Source organism: Homo sapiens, chromosome 1 (genome assembly GCF_000001405.40).
Source record: "Homo sapiens chromosome 1, GRCh38.p14 Primary Assembly".
Taxonomy (NCBI): Eukaryota; Metazoa; Chordata; class Mammalia; order Primates; family Hominidae; genus Homo; species Homo sapiens.
In genome coordinates this window covers 243,199,803-243,214,496 of record NC_000001.11, presented here as the reverse complement: position 1 = coordinate 243,214,496, position 14,694 = coordinate 243,199,803, and the positions used below count along the sequence as shown (strand labels likewise).

The following is a 14,694-nucleotide window of genomic DNA, read 5'->3' as shown; positions in this document are numbered from 1 at the left end:
TTGGCTAACCTGGTGAAACCCCATCGCTACTAAAAATACAAAAATTAGCCAGGCGTGGCGGCAGGTGCCTGTAATCCCAGCTACTTGAGAGGCTGAGGCAGGAGAATCGCTTGAACCTGGGAGGCAGAAGTTGTAGTGAGCTGAGATCACGCCATTACACTCCAGCCTGGGCAACAAGAGCAAGACTCCATCTCAAAAAAAAAAAAAAAAAAAAAACTTTACAGCTTATAATTTTGTTAATAGGATAGCCATCTTTTTTCCTCCATAAAGTGCAAAACACTTATTATTTTTAGATTTATAAACAACAATTAGAAGCTCAATCCAATAATTTTATGTCTACATCATCTCTTCCAGTCACCTTTGTATAGATACTTGTGTTGAGAATATGTCCACTTACATACTATATCAAATAAGTATTGGAACACAGATGTGAAAAAAGAAGGCTGTCAATATTTCTTTTAAAATATGACACTTCTTTTAAAATGAGGCTGGCGATGGTGGCTTACACCTGTAATCCCAGCACTTTGGGAGGCCAATGCAGGAGGATTGCTTGAGGCCAGGAATTCAAGACCAGCCTGGGTGACATAGTGAGACCCCATCTACAAAAAATTTAAAAATTAGCAGGGTGTGGTGGCACAAGCCTCTAGTCCCAGCTACTGAGGAGGCTGAGGTGGGAGAATCACCTGAGCCTGGGAGGTCGAGGCTTCAGAATGAGATGTGGTCCATGCCACTGCACTCCATCTTGGGTGACAGAGCGAGACCCTGTCTCAGAACCCCAAAAACAAAACCCCCACAAAACCCAAAATCATTCAGATTCTTTTTGAAAAATACTACGTGATTCTTACTGAATGACTAACTAGATGAAAATTTCTTTTTTTTTCATGGACACATTCTTTCTCATTGATTCTTGCATTAGAGAAAATGTGTCTATGACTGTCTTCATTTGAAGACACAGAGTCTGATAATTTTGCTTATGCTATCAGCTTTATCAACATTATCATAGTGTAGAATCCCACTGTCTCTTGTATTTATCTTATAATTATGAAATATCTTCCTGTTTTCTTCTCTTTGCCTTTATGAATGTTAAATCAGAAATTCTGGATTTTCAACTGTGCTCTTTAATAGGTGAAAAAAGAAACCCCAAAATGTATAAAGATTTTATCTCCAGATGTCTTTTATACCTTCTTGGAAAGATGAGGAATATTTTGGCCACTGCAGTAAGATAACTAAAGAATGATGAAATAGTGATTTATTTCACTATTGCATCATGCTCGTAGGTCTGTGCTTTTCACTACAGTAGCCACTAACCATGTGTGCCTGTTGAGCCCTTGAAATGTGGAGTAGTCTAAATTTTAAAGACATAGTACCAAAAAAAGAAAAAAAAAAGAATATGAAATACCTTGTTAGTTTTTATATTGGTACTTTACTGAAACGGTACTATTTTGGATATATCAGGTGAAATGTATAATATTAAAACTAATCTCACCTCTATCTTGTTTCCTTTTTTATGTGCCCACTAGAAAATATAATTTGGCCAGGCATGGTGGCTCACACCTATAATCCCAGGATTTTGGGAGGCCAAAGTGGGCATATCATTTGAGCCCAGGAGTTTGCGATCAGCCTGGGCAACATAGGGAGACCTTGTCTCTACAAAAAATACACAAAAATTAGCTGGGCATGGTAGCATGCACCTGTAGTCCAGCTACTCAGGAGGCTGAGGTAGGAAAATCACCTGAGCCCAGGAAATCAAGGCTGCAGTGCACCATGATCGCACCACCGCGACCCTGAAAGAAAGAGAGAGAGAGAGAAGAAAGAAAATATAATAGTAAATGTGGCTTACAATATTTTTTTGTTGGTTATTGCTTCTGTTATTCTTTTGTCTTATTATTTGGATCACTTTTAGCGTTGTTTGGAATAATTGATGAGTAAATATTAAATAGTTGCTAGGATGATAAAATGGCAGAATTTCAACATATCAGAAAAATAAGATCACTGAAACCTTATAATGTATGTGATTCCTAAAGGGATCCAAAGGACCCATATGACAACTGCAAAATAAATTGAGTTTTATTCTATTTTCTTAAAGTAAATTTTCTTCTTCTTCTTTATAATAATTCCAAAAATAAAAGTAATGAAATGTCAATGCTTACACATAGACAGAATTTCTCAAAAAGCTAAAATTGGGTTGAGCAAACCCTGATGGTATATTAACAGTTAAATATTTTACCCTTTGCGGTTTGCCAGCTTTAGATTAGGAGCTTTTCTTGGCACCATTTTTAGGAACTATTCTAAGTGCCTAAATTCATCTTGGCAGCACTGGGTTCTTTGTGTGTTACCAGTAAGAGAGATAAAAGGCTTAGTATAAAATCATTTATCAGCCTACAGGCTGCATGGCACATCTTATGATACTCAGGCTGTATTAGCCACCGTATGATATGTGCTTTTAACTCTCAGATTTGAGAATTTGCTTATCTGAAATGTAAGAATTAATACCTCATACGTAACCTAACATCTTTTTTTGTTTCCTTGTAGACTTTTGTGAATGATGTAAGGATTCCGGAACAGACTTATATCACCTTGAAACTTGAAGATAAGCTGAGATTTGGATATGATATCCTTAAATGGTTTTATGTACTTATTAAATTTATTCAAATATGTTTACTCTGGTTTAAGTTAACATTTTTAAAACACAATTCACAATATAGATATGCCAGAATTTCTATTTATTGGGTGCATTCCTATACTAAAATACATATATATTTTTAGTTATTATGCCTGTTCCTAAAAGTAATCATGGAAAAGTTGGTGGACTCAGCTTTTTTTTTCCCTCTCTCTCTCTATTTATGTAGTTTCAGCATCAGTCTCACTGAAGTGCTATTGCATATATAATTTGAGCATCAAAGAATGTAACTGGGGAGAGGACAGGGGAATGTTTAATTTTAGTCCAGCCTAGGGATTGCTTTCAGGTGGAACATGATGCATGAATCAGCCTCCTGGGATGAATGTAAGAATTTAAACCTACTTTTCCTTCCATCCCTCCCGTTAACTGTTTTATGCATCACAGCTATATTGCCTATTAAATTCAAACTTTTCAATATCCTGTGTCTTCTAAGACCTACGCTCTCTGATTAATCCACATTATGCATTTAGTGTGTATTTAAAATTCTTATGTTTAAAATTAGGAATCTAATAATTGAACAAGGACATGACTGTATTAAACTGCATGGGGCAGCGTGAAGAATCTCTAGTGAAGGGAAGGAGCATGATTGCAGAAGAAGAAAGACATTTCCATTCATAGTAGGCAAGAAGCTTTGTAAAAAGGATTTATGTACATTTAATTAAAATACAGCTATTCCACATAATGCTGAAGGTTGTTTTTTTTTTTTTTGAGTTTTAGTTTTTTTGAATTACTACTTTTATTGGGACTTTGGTAATAAAGAATGTATTAAGCATAGCAATTTGGATGGACTTTTGTCACCGTAGCAGAAAAAGCATAGTCTCAGCTAAATAGAGTAGATGCTTAAAGTAAATGTATTAACACTATAAAATTGTTCCTTGACATTTACGAGAAATAGTCCAGGTGCTGTGGCTCACACCTGTAATCCCAGCACTTCGGGAGGCTGAGGTGGGCAGGTCACGAGGTCAGGAGTTCGAGACCAGCCTGACCAATGTGGTGAAACCCCGTCTCTACTAAAAATACAAAAAAATGTTTTAAATAACCAGTCATGGTGGCACGCATCTGTAATCCCAGCTACTCCAGAGGCTGAGGCAGGAGAATCGCTTGAACCCAGGAGGCAGAGGTTGCAGTGAGCCAAGATCACACTACTGCACTGTAGCCTGGCAACAGAGAGAGACTCCATCTCAAAAAAAAAAAAAAAAAAAAAAAAATTACGAAAAATAATATTACAATTTTTTAAATTTTAAATCTAAAATTAAAGTTTTGTAGCATACTTTATAATGTTCACACTTGCAGAGCCAAAGGAATATACAAAAAGCCAAACCATTAAATAGTAATACTTGTATATATTTTAAGTCTTTAAAAAAAATGCTTCATGCAAAATAATTAAGAATTAGCATTAAAGCCTTAATGAATGGGTGTCATTTTCTACCAGCCTAAGTTTCATCAAGAACAAATACAAGTATATTTTGAATTTAGATACCTCCTTTAATCCATTTGGCATCAACTGTTTCAAATCATGAGAAAAATACTAGGAAATTTAAGTTTTAGTAAAACTCTGTCAAGTTAACTTTGAATTTTATATCAAGAAGAAACTATTGAGAAAAAAACCTCATGCTTTTACACAATAGTATACTATTTTCTTAACAGCAAACAGACATTTTTCTCTTACGTACCAGCTCATAATATGTCTGTCTAAAATTGTTGGGACGGATGTTTTGTCCCAAAGACTTTCTCAGAGTTGTGCACTTAGTGTTGAGCCATAACTACTGTCTGGATGCCCAGAGGAGGCACATATAATTTTATTATTTTAAAATAGCATCTGTTAGCCAGCCACGGTGGCTCATGCCTGTAATCCCAGCACGTGGGGAGGCTGAGGCAGGCGGATCATGAGGTCAGGAGATTGAGACCATCCTGGCTAACACAGTGAAACCCCATCTCTACTAAAAATACAAAAAAATTAGCCAGGCATGGTGGCGGGCGCCTGTACTCCCAGCAACTCAGGAGGCTCCTACCTCCCACCTCAGTAGGAGAATGGTGTGAACCCGGGAGGCGGAGCTTGCAGTGAGCCGAGATCGTGCCACTGTACTCCAGCCTGGGCAACAGAGCCAGACTCCGTCTCAAAAAAAAAAAACCATCTGTTATAGTGGCAGAAATTATATTATATACGTAATTTTAAAAGCAGGTTTTATATATTTACTTGTTTCTGTATTTAGCTATGCTAGATTGAAGACATTTTTGTACTTTATTCTAATTAAAATTAATCTTAATAGGCAGTCTATAAACTGCTATACTTTGGAGAGGAAAACTATTTTGATTAAAAAGCTACAGCAGGCTGGGCGCAGTGGCTCACACCTGTAATCCCAGCACTTTGGGAGGCCAAAGTGGGCAGATCAGTTGAGGTCAGGAGTTCAAGACCAGCCTGGCCAACATGGCGAAATCTCATCTCTACCAAAAAATACAAAAACTAGCCTGGCATGGTGGCAGGTACATGTAATCCCAGCTACTCAGGAGGCTGAGGCAGGGAGAATTGTTTGAACCTGGGAGGCGGAGGTTGCAGTGAGCCAAGATCGTGCCACTGCACTCCAGCCTGGGTGACAGAGCAAGACTCCGTCTAAAATAAATAAATAAATGAAATAAAATAAAATGCTACATCAATAGAAGGAGCAATTTAACATGGATCAAGACTAGAATTAGGCAACATAAGTCTTTTTTGTAACTGGAGAAATAAGTGATTTGGAAAAGCACATACTCAGTGAAATATACAAGCTTTTAAAATGACCGTAAACTCATAAGGAGTACTAAAATGCTGCAGTAATCAAGAAAAACTTCAAAAAGTGGTAATAAATCTTCAGGTAGCCAAAAATGAGGCTGATAAGGAAAAGTTTATTCATTTCCTAATTATTTATTAAATGTCTCCTATGTGCCAGGCATAGTCCCAGTGGTTTGGGAAATATAACTGTGAATAAAATAGATCATAATCACTGTTCTCCTGTAGCCTACACTTTAGTGGGGTTGAAGGGACTGACAGCACACACTAGAAGTGAGGGTATTAGAGGATGGTAAGTTCTATGGAAAAAAGTGAAAGTGGGAGGCAGAGAGCTAGTGTTGGTAAGTGGGAAGTTAGAGTTTTAAAAAGAATATTCACGAAGACCTCAATGAGAAGCCAGCACTGGGGCAAAGATGTGGAGAAAGTAAAGAAGTTAGCCATATGGATATATGGAGATATTGTCCTGCAGACAGATGAGGGTATAGTACAAAGGACTTGAAGCAGAGACATGTTTGACATATTGGAGGAATAGCATTTAAAAGCCAGTGTGGTTGGAGCCAGCAAAGAACATGAGTATATTAGGAGTCAGAATATATCAGTTCTCGTAGGACATTATAAGGATTTTGACTTTTATTCTGAGTGAAATGGGTAGTCTTTGGAGGCGTTTTTGTTTTTGTTTTTTTTTAATCGGAGTGATAAATGACATACATCTAAAAAGATCCTCTGGCTACTCTTGTTCAAAGAAAACTAAGGGTGGAGTGGGCAGGGGTATGAAAAGAGAGACCAGTTAGGAGGCTATTGCAGTAGTTCAGGTGAACGGTAAAGGAGGTTTGGACCAGGGTGATATATCTGGAAGTAGAAATGAAAGGATTCTGTGTATATTTTGAAGATGTAGCCAATAAAGTTTTCTGATTAGACTGGATGTAGAGTAAGAGAAAGAGTCAAGGATGAACCAGAATTTAGGCCTGAGCAATATGAAAAAGGAAGGCATCCTTTTAATAACTGATAGAGAATTCTGTAGGTAGAGCAAGTTTTGTGGAGAAAATGGGAAGAATCATCTCAAAATACTAGCTTTAGACTTAACCAAGTTTTCACATTTTTCTGTTTTCTATTTGATTTCTGTTACCTTTATTCTAAACTTTTTTCTAGGTAGGAGCTGAGGTCATTCAGTTGAGACCTTTCTTTTCTAATACTGGTGTTTAGAGCTATAAATTTTCCCCCAATTACTACTTTAATGTTTCTAATTTCCTTTTTTATTTTCTTCTTTGAGTCACAGATTATAAGTTTGTTTAGTTTCCAGATATTTGGGGAGTTTTCCAGATATATTTCTGTTACTGATTTCTAATTCCATTTTGCTCAGAGAACATACTTTGTATGTCTCAAATCCTTTTCAATTTATTGAGACTTGTTCTGTGGCCCAGAATATGTTCTATCTTGGTAAATGTTCCATATGTACCTAAAAAGGATATGCGTTCTGCTATTTGGGGGTTGGAATGTTCTATAAATGTTAGTTAGGCCAGGTTGGCTTGGTGGGTGTTCAGGTCTGCTGTATTTTACTGATTTATTGTCTTCTTACTCTTTCAATTATTAAGAAAGGGGTATTGAAATCTCAGGCTATAATTATGGGTTCGCCCCCTCCTCCTTGCAGAACTTTTTGCTTTGTCATTTGCAGCTCTTTTATTAGTTGCATAGACAACCTGGATTATTATGCTATCTTGATGAATTATCCCCCTCTATCATTATGCAATGACCTGCTTTATCCATAATAAGATTCTTTGCTCTGAAATCTAGTTTGTCTTAATATTATAGTTGTTCCAGCTTTCTGTTGTCTACTTATATTTTTAATTTTTACCCTGTTTGTCTTTACCTGTAAAGTAGGCAGCATATAGTTGTTCTTACTTTTTTATCTGATACGATAATTTTTACTTTTATTTGGTGATGTAGGCCATTCACATTTATTGTGATAATTGATGTGGTTAGTTTTAAATCTATCATCTTGAAATTTGTGTCCTGTTTGACCCATTAGTTTTATGTTTTCTCTTTCCCTGTTTCTGATTTCATTTGAGTTATCTGAATAGTTTTTATTATTTCATTTTATCTCCTTTGTTGGCTTATTTGCCGTAATTTTTTGTTGTTGTTTTAGTGGTACCTTTAGGACTTATAATTTGTCTTTAATTTCAAGTTTTATCTTCAAGTAACATTATACCACTTTACATATTGTACAAGAACATTACAACAGTATACTTTCGTCTTGACCTTTGTGCTATGATGTCATGTATTTTATTTTTATGTGTGTCACAAACCCCATACTACATTGTTATTAGTAAAAAGTCAATTGTCATTTAAAGAGGTTTAAATAATTTTTAAAATCTTAAAATACATATTTTAAAATACATATTTTTATACCCATTGTACTTATGTCTGAAACCCACGAACCTTCCATTTCTGGTATTCTTCATCCCTTTGTACAGATCCATATTTTCACATAATGTCAGTTTGTTTCTACCTGATGGACTTCCTTCAACATTTCTTGTACTATGGCTTTGCTGGTGATGAATTCTGTCAGCTTTTATATGTCTAGAAAAGTATTTCATCTTAGTTATTGAAAGATAATATTGGCCGGGCATGGTGGCCCACGCCTATAATCCCAGCACTTTGGGAGGCTGAAGGCAAGCGGATCATGAAGTTGGGAGTTTGAGATCAGCCTCGCAAACATGGGGAAACCCTGTCTCTATTAAAAATACAAAAATTAGCTGGGCGTGGTGGCACACACCTGTAATCCCAGCTACTCCGGATGCTGAGGCAGGAGAATCTCTTGAACCCAGAAGGCGGAGGTTGCAATGAGCCAAGATCGTACCTCTGCACTCCAGCCTGGGCAAAAGAGAGACTCCATCTCAAAAAAGAAAAAAAGTTACTGTTGCTGGGGATAGAATTCGAAATTGGCTTTTTCTTATTTTTAGCACTTTAAAGATGTTGCTCCACTGTATTCTCACATTATTTTCCTTTGTCCCTGGCTTTGAACTGTTTGATTATGATGTGTCTTGGTGTAGCTTTCTTCTTCTTTCTTTTTTCTTCCTTCTTTCTTCTTTCTTTTTTCTTCCTTCTTTCTTCTTCTTTCTTTTTGTTTGTTGTTTTTTTGTTCCTCCCTTGGGGTTTGTTGACCTTCTAAAATCCTGTGGCTTTATAGTTTCAATCCAATTTGGAAAAAATCTCCATTATTTATTTTAAAATTTGTTTATCTCTTCTGGGTTGATTTCCATTGATTAATTTTTACACTCATAGTAATTTTTTATTAGATGGCAGGCATTGTGAATTTTACTTTGCTGAGTGTTATGCATATTTTAGTATTTATATAAGTATTTTTGAGCATTCTTCTGGAATACAAGTTACTTGGAAACAGTTTTATCACTTTGAGTCTTTCCTTTAAGATTTGTTAGGCTTCTAAGATTGTTCTGGGCTAATTATTCCCAACTACTGAGGCAAGACCTTTCTGTATGTTCTACTGTGGGGGGTCAGTAAACTCATTGACCAAATCTGGTCCTCAGGCTGTTTTGTTGGAACATCGCTATGCCCAATCTATTAACATATTTCTGTGGCCACTTTTGCTCTACCGCTGCAGAGTTGAGTAGCTGAAGCAGAGATCACGTGGCCTGAAAAACCTGAAAGATTTACTATCTGGCCCTTTACAGAAAAAGTTTGCTGACTTGTGCTCTACCCAGTGACTCATGAATCATGCATGAGGTTTTACAGTCTAGCTGTTGAGAGTAGGTACTATTCCTGGCCCTATGTGTGGGCACTGGGTACTATTATCTCTAATATTTTCCAGAGACTGAAAATCTCTGGAATTCTCTTTCTGTGCAGGCTTGTCTTCAGTACTCAGTCCTGGGAATTCCAGTAATGTTGATTTGCTTGGACTCTTGACTTCATTTCCATCACAACTCAGGGAGTCTGCCAGGCTCTGTCTGGATTATTCTTCCTCACAGTGTGACCTAGAAACTTTCACAGGGCAGTGAGTTGGGGCAGTGATTGGACTCTTGCTTTGTTGCCCTTCTCTGGGAGATCATTGTCTTTTGTTGCCTGATGCCAATTGTCTTGTAAAACATTGTATCATGTGTTTTACCCATCTTTTAGTTGTTTAATGTAGGAGAATAAATCCAATTCTTTTTACTCCATCTTATCCAGAAGATTGAGAAGTTGATTTGGGGCATGTTGAATGTAAAGTTGAATCCAGGGGTGAAGTAGAAGCTAAAGATATGAATGTGGGGATTTTTATTATATAAATAATATTTAAAACCATAAGACTGAATGAGATCATTAAGGGAATGAATATAGATTGATAAGAGGTTCAAGGACTGACACCTGGTACATTCCAATATTAAGAGATGGGTGAGATTAGGAACCAGTAAAAGAGACTAAGGAGAAACCACTAATGTGCTAGGAGGAAAAGCAGAGTATAGTATGGTTTCCACATTTTGTGGGAAATTATTTACACATTACTTAAATATCTTGAATCACAAGATCCACCCGCCAATCATTTTAATCATGTAAGTCATCATAAGTAAGAACCCAGTACCTTCTATTTTAAAATTGTGATTTATGTATTTTCCCAAAGAAGTTGTATATTCCTGCATAATGGCCCACAAAATGATTGGGTTAGTCATATTAGAAACCAGGTTAAAGAAAACTCCAATACATCATATCATAGCATCTAAAACTATAATTAATCTGTACTTCCAGCACTATATATACCACTGTTTGGTAGGCTGTCAAGATAACGGCTGCTGAATGATCAAGGGGAAGTTAAATGTAAGCAAAAATTAAGAACTTTCATTCAGAGAAGTTAAGATTTTTCCTTATCTATGTGGTTGATATCCATAACAAAACATGAGCATATTAATATTTTTCAAATTTCAAAAATAGAGGACATTTCTCAAAGCTTAAAAGAACTAAATTTTAAAAATTAATGGAAATGAGCTTTTTTGGATGAAAAAATGAAGTGATAGAGAAGTTTAAATCAGTTGTTTGAAAACTATGTTTTTAAAGAACAGGATCTTCTACAAGTTGGAAAGATAATCATCTCCTAAAATAAAATGATACCTTTTTTTGAAGGTATAGGCAAAATTAAGCAGATAGATAAAATTTTCCCCTTAGAAAGTTTCCTGCTGTTAACTTTCTTTTAAACCCTTATTGTCTCCTAGGACCTACCTTACTAATTCTCTGTGGACTCTAATTTATCATAATTGTATGTTTTATTATCAATTGTTGTTAAATGAGGGAAAATTTCCATATTTGTAATGAAAAGGAAACATTTTTGGGTAACCTTAAGAATTTCTAGGGATAGCCTTATTATATGTTTTTTTAAATCACATGTATGAAATATATTAATTTTGAAAAATATGTTTTTCTGATCTTTCCTTGTATGAAATAATTTTATTCAGGTTTTCTTAATTATCTGACATGATTTTTGAAAGATATGTTTACAGTGATATCTGACACTTCATATTTTAGGTCATACCCCTTGGAATAACTAACGCTGTTTAAAGTTTCGCTCTGTTTTTTATTTTGTCATTAAAATAAAAGAGTGGGAGGAACCGTATCTAAGAACACATTACTAGTATTCAGGGGAGTTTCCACAGTCCTACTTTTAGATAAACATTTCTTGAATAAATTGACTTAGGTCAGTACAGGGGGATGGCTTAGAATAGCAATCATAGTTTTATATAAAGAAGTGGAGAAATAACCTGTCAAATTATGATTTTTTAATAAGCAAGAATTCAAACTTTTTATAACTTACTGATATCATGCGTTATTCTACCTCTGTTTGTCATTTTTCTTGATTAGCAAGTTAAAAATAGCTACATAGGCCTGCACCACTAAGAAGATGGTAGCCTTGGAGGGAAAAGCTGGGGCTAGAGCAGTCTCCAGATCTCACAGTTACACCAGAGTTCCCAGATGAATTAATGACCCAAACAAGAGGCTTCTTGAGGTCTTCTTCGTTTCCACACACACAAACATTTTTGGAAGGTAAAATGTTTGAACCTGAGAAGGATGGCTCCTCTCAAGCTCTCCATGACCTGAAGAGTGTCTAGGTTTAAAGAGGATACCCCAGACGAGCCCTGGGAAGTTGCCTTCAGGCACTCCCAGGAGGTAAGCTTGAAGCACCCGAAAACCCTCACAACAGGCTGAAATCACTTGTGTTTTCCATGGAAAAAATGGTAATGACTGTCCATTTTTAATGCCTTTTTTCATAGAAAAAGTAGGAATGCTATGAATTTTCTCTAGCTGTTTATGAGTTTTTTGCGGATAAAACAAAGTTACTAGACAGTATTATTATTATATTTAAAGCAAAGTTTTTACCATAATATTGCTTCAGGGAACTCACATCTGTAACCACATCAGATAGAAAGCAATTTTCAGAAAAGAATGAAAAACTTCAATAATATCTGCAGTAGTCATGCCCTAGTGTTTTTCTATATTATATATATGTGTTTATATAATTCATATTATATAAATATGCGAATGTATGTATACTTATTAAATTCTAGGTTTTTTCTTATAATAGCTTAATCACATTTTTTGTCTTTTTAAAGAAATTTCAATAGCTTTAGGGATACAAGTGATTTTTTGGATACATGGATGAATTGTGCAAGGGTGAAGTCTGGGATTTTAGTGTACCCACCACCTGAGTAGTATACACTGTACCTCAATAGGTAGTTTTTCATCCCTCACCCCGCCTTCCGGCTTCCCCACTTCTGATTATCCAGTGTTCATTATACCACTCTGTATGCCTTTGTGTACCCATAGCTTAGGTCCCACTTGGAAGTGAGGACATGTGGTATTTGGGTTTTTGATTCCTGAGTTACTTTACTTAGAGTAATAGCCTTCAGTTCCATACAAGTTGCTGCAAAAGACACTATTTCATTCTTTTTTATGGCTGAGTAGTATTCCATGGTGTATATATACCACATTTTCTTAAACCACTTATCAGTTGATGGGCATTTAGATTGATTCCATATGTTTGCAATTTAGACATTATCTTTTATTAAATATACTTAGTTATGAGATGTGTATTTCCATATGTACCAGCAAATATATACCAGTGTATGAATGTGACAAAAAGGAAAATTTTAATATTTCAAAGCTATAGGAAAAAGCAATGTAGATTAATAGGAGAGCCCTGGCCTGGGATTCAGTTGACTAGACTCTTGTTTTGGTTTCTGTCCGTCCATTACCCAGGTTCTTTATTTATGAAACAGGAGGGACTAATGGAATTGAACAGAATATTTCCCAAAACTCTTCATATTTACAATTCTGAATTTTTATTATTTTAACAAGTAGAAACCTAGAATAAATACTCACAAGTTTCCTACTTCCCTTATGCTTGGGAAGTCATCTTTTTCCCCCAAGTAGTCATGATAGTTACAGCTTTCTACCCTCGAAGTCATGAGTGCTCTGAACTGGTAAGGAATAGAATTTAGTACATGGTTATAAAAGTCCTCTCATTACAGAGTTAAGTAATGGTGGGAAATGTGACCTCTACTCTTTAGTGAATAGATCTTTTTAATATACAGAGGCAGTGTTCTTTTTGGTTTAATAATGAAGGCATTCATTGTATCTAGCACTTGGTTCTAATCTCATCTTGGTATAGTATCCATTGTTTGATAATGTAATACGACCTTGATTGCAATTCATGGGGAACAGTCATGGTTGTGGTTGCTGTAAGGACCCTAATTATAGCATTTCTTTTGCACTTGCAAAATGAACTTCATTTTTATCAATGCTTATGAAGTTTGAGTAATCAAATTCTTTTAGGAATTGCTGTTGGTTAATCATTGATGAGATATTTCCTTACATTTTTGTGATTAGCTCTCAATATAATTTGATGCATGTACTTTTTCTTTGTAGTTATCTCATATTATTGTTAGTGAAAATTGAAAATGTCTCTGTGCTCTGATAAATTACCCAGTTGTTTGCTTCTTGAGGGCCACCATTACTTAAAATTAGAAAACTTGCTGGATCTTAAGATTTTTAGTATTTTAAAATGAAAATGTTTACATTGGTGACCATATTTTAATATTTAACTATTCAGGGGAAATATAATAATTCTGCTGTAGTTACCTGTTGAAATAGAACAATTTCTAAATTACATTTGATGACGATTTTTAGCTCAATTATCAGAAATTTGAGGTTATATTCTTCCTTAGCCCCGTTTACATACAAATCTTTTCACTGTAGTACAAGGAGAAATGAGGGTCCCTGAAGAAGCTCTTAAGGTAACAGTTTTTACTTAACTTCTTTTGCAAATCTACTCTTCACTATGGTTGATTTTACTTCTTGATGTTTCACTTCCATTTTTAAATGTTTTATAGCATGAGAAGTTTACCATTCAGCTTCAGTTGTCCCAAAAATCTTCAGAATCAGAATTATCCAAATCTGCAAGTGCCAAAAGCATAGATTCAAAGGTAGCAGACGCTGCTACTGAAGTGCAGCACAAAACTACTGAAGCACTGAAATCCGAGGAAAAAGCCATGGGTAAGCTGGCCTCTCTCGAAAGACCATCTTTATACTTGATCTTGAAGACACTGCATGCTTTGTTCTCAGAAAGTTGGCTATGTCCATATAAAAATAATTTATAATAGTGATAATTTCAGAGTGTGTTTTAATGCTACCAGTGCTTTCATTAGGAAACATTATAAAACACATAATTATATATAGCAGTTATATATAGGTGTGCTTAATATGTTTAAATGTTTAAGAGAAGTAAATATGGTCATCCTTCAGTATCCGTGGGGGACTGGTTTCAGGACTCCCATGAATACCAGAATTCACGATGCTCAAGTTCCTTATGTAAAATGGCATAGTATTTGCACATAACTTGAACACATCCTCCTGTATACTTTAAATCATCTCTAGATCACTTATAATACCTAATACAATGCATACACCTCACTTCATTTGTTTAATAGTACTTGGCATAAGGCAAATTTAAGTCTTGCATTTTGGAATGTAGTGGAATTTTTTCCCCCAAAACATTTTTCATCTGCAGCTAATTGAACCCATGGATGCAGAACCTACAGATTCAGAGGGTTAACTGTGTAGTTTACCTTATAATATTTTTATTATTTCATGTTTGTCTGCATTTTCTTCTGCAGCATAACAACGAAAACGAATTAAAAGAAAAATTTTTTAAATCAAATGTGGCTGTATCACCATATAATAATTTACAATTCTAGGCACGTTATAAAAT

The 14,694-nt window shown here is 35.4% G+C and overlaps 1 protein-coding gene across 27 annotated transcripts in view; it reads left to right on the top strand.

Annotated features, from left to right (window-relative positions):
• CEP170 (centrosomal protein 170) overlaps positions 1-14,694 on the top strand; it is a 131,358-nt gene that overhangs the window by 41,289 nt on the left and 75,375 nt on the right. For all 27 annotated transcript variants that reach the window (XM_047435483.1, XM_006711843.5, XM_017002951.3 and 24 more), the window contains 3 exons: positions 2,533-2,611; positions 13,662-13,720; positions 13,817-13,979. In XM_047435483.1, the coding sequence (XP_047291439.1) occupies positions 2,533-2,611; positions 13,662-13,720; positions 13,817-13,979 (301 nt within the window). The remainder of the gene's footprint in view (positions 1-2,532; positions 2,612-13,661; positions 13,721-13,816; positions 13,980-14,694) is intronic.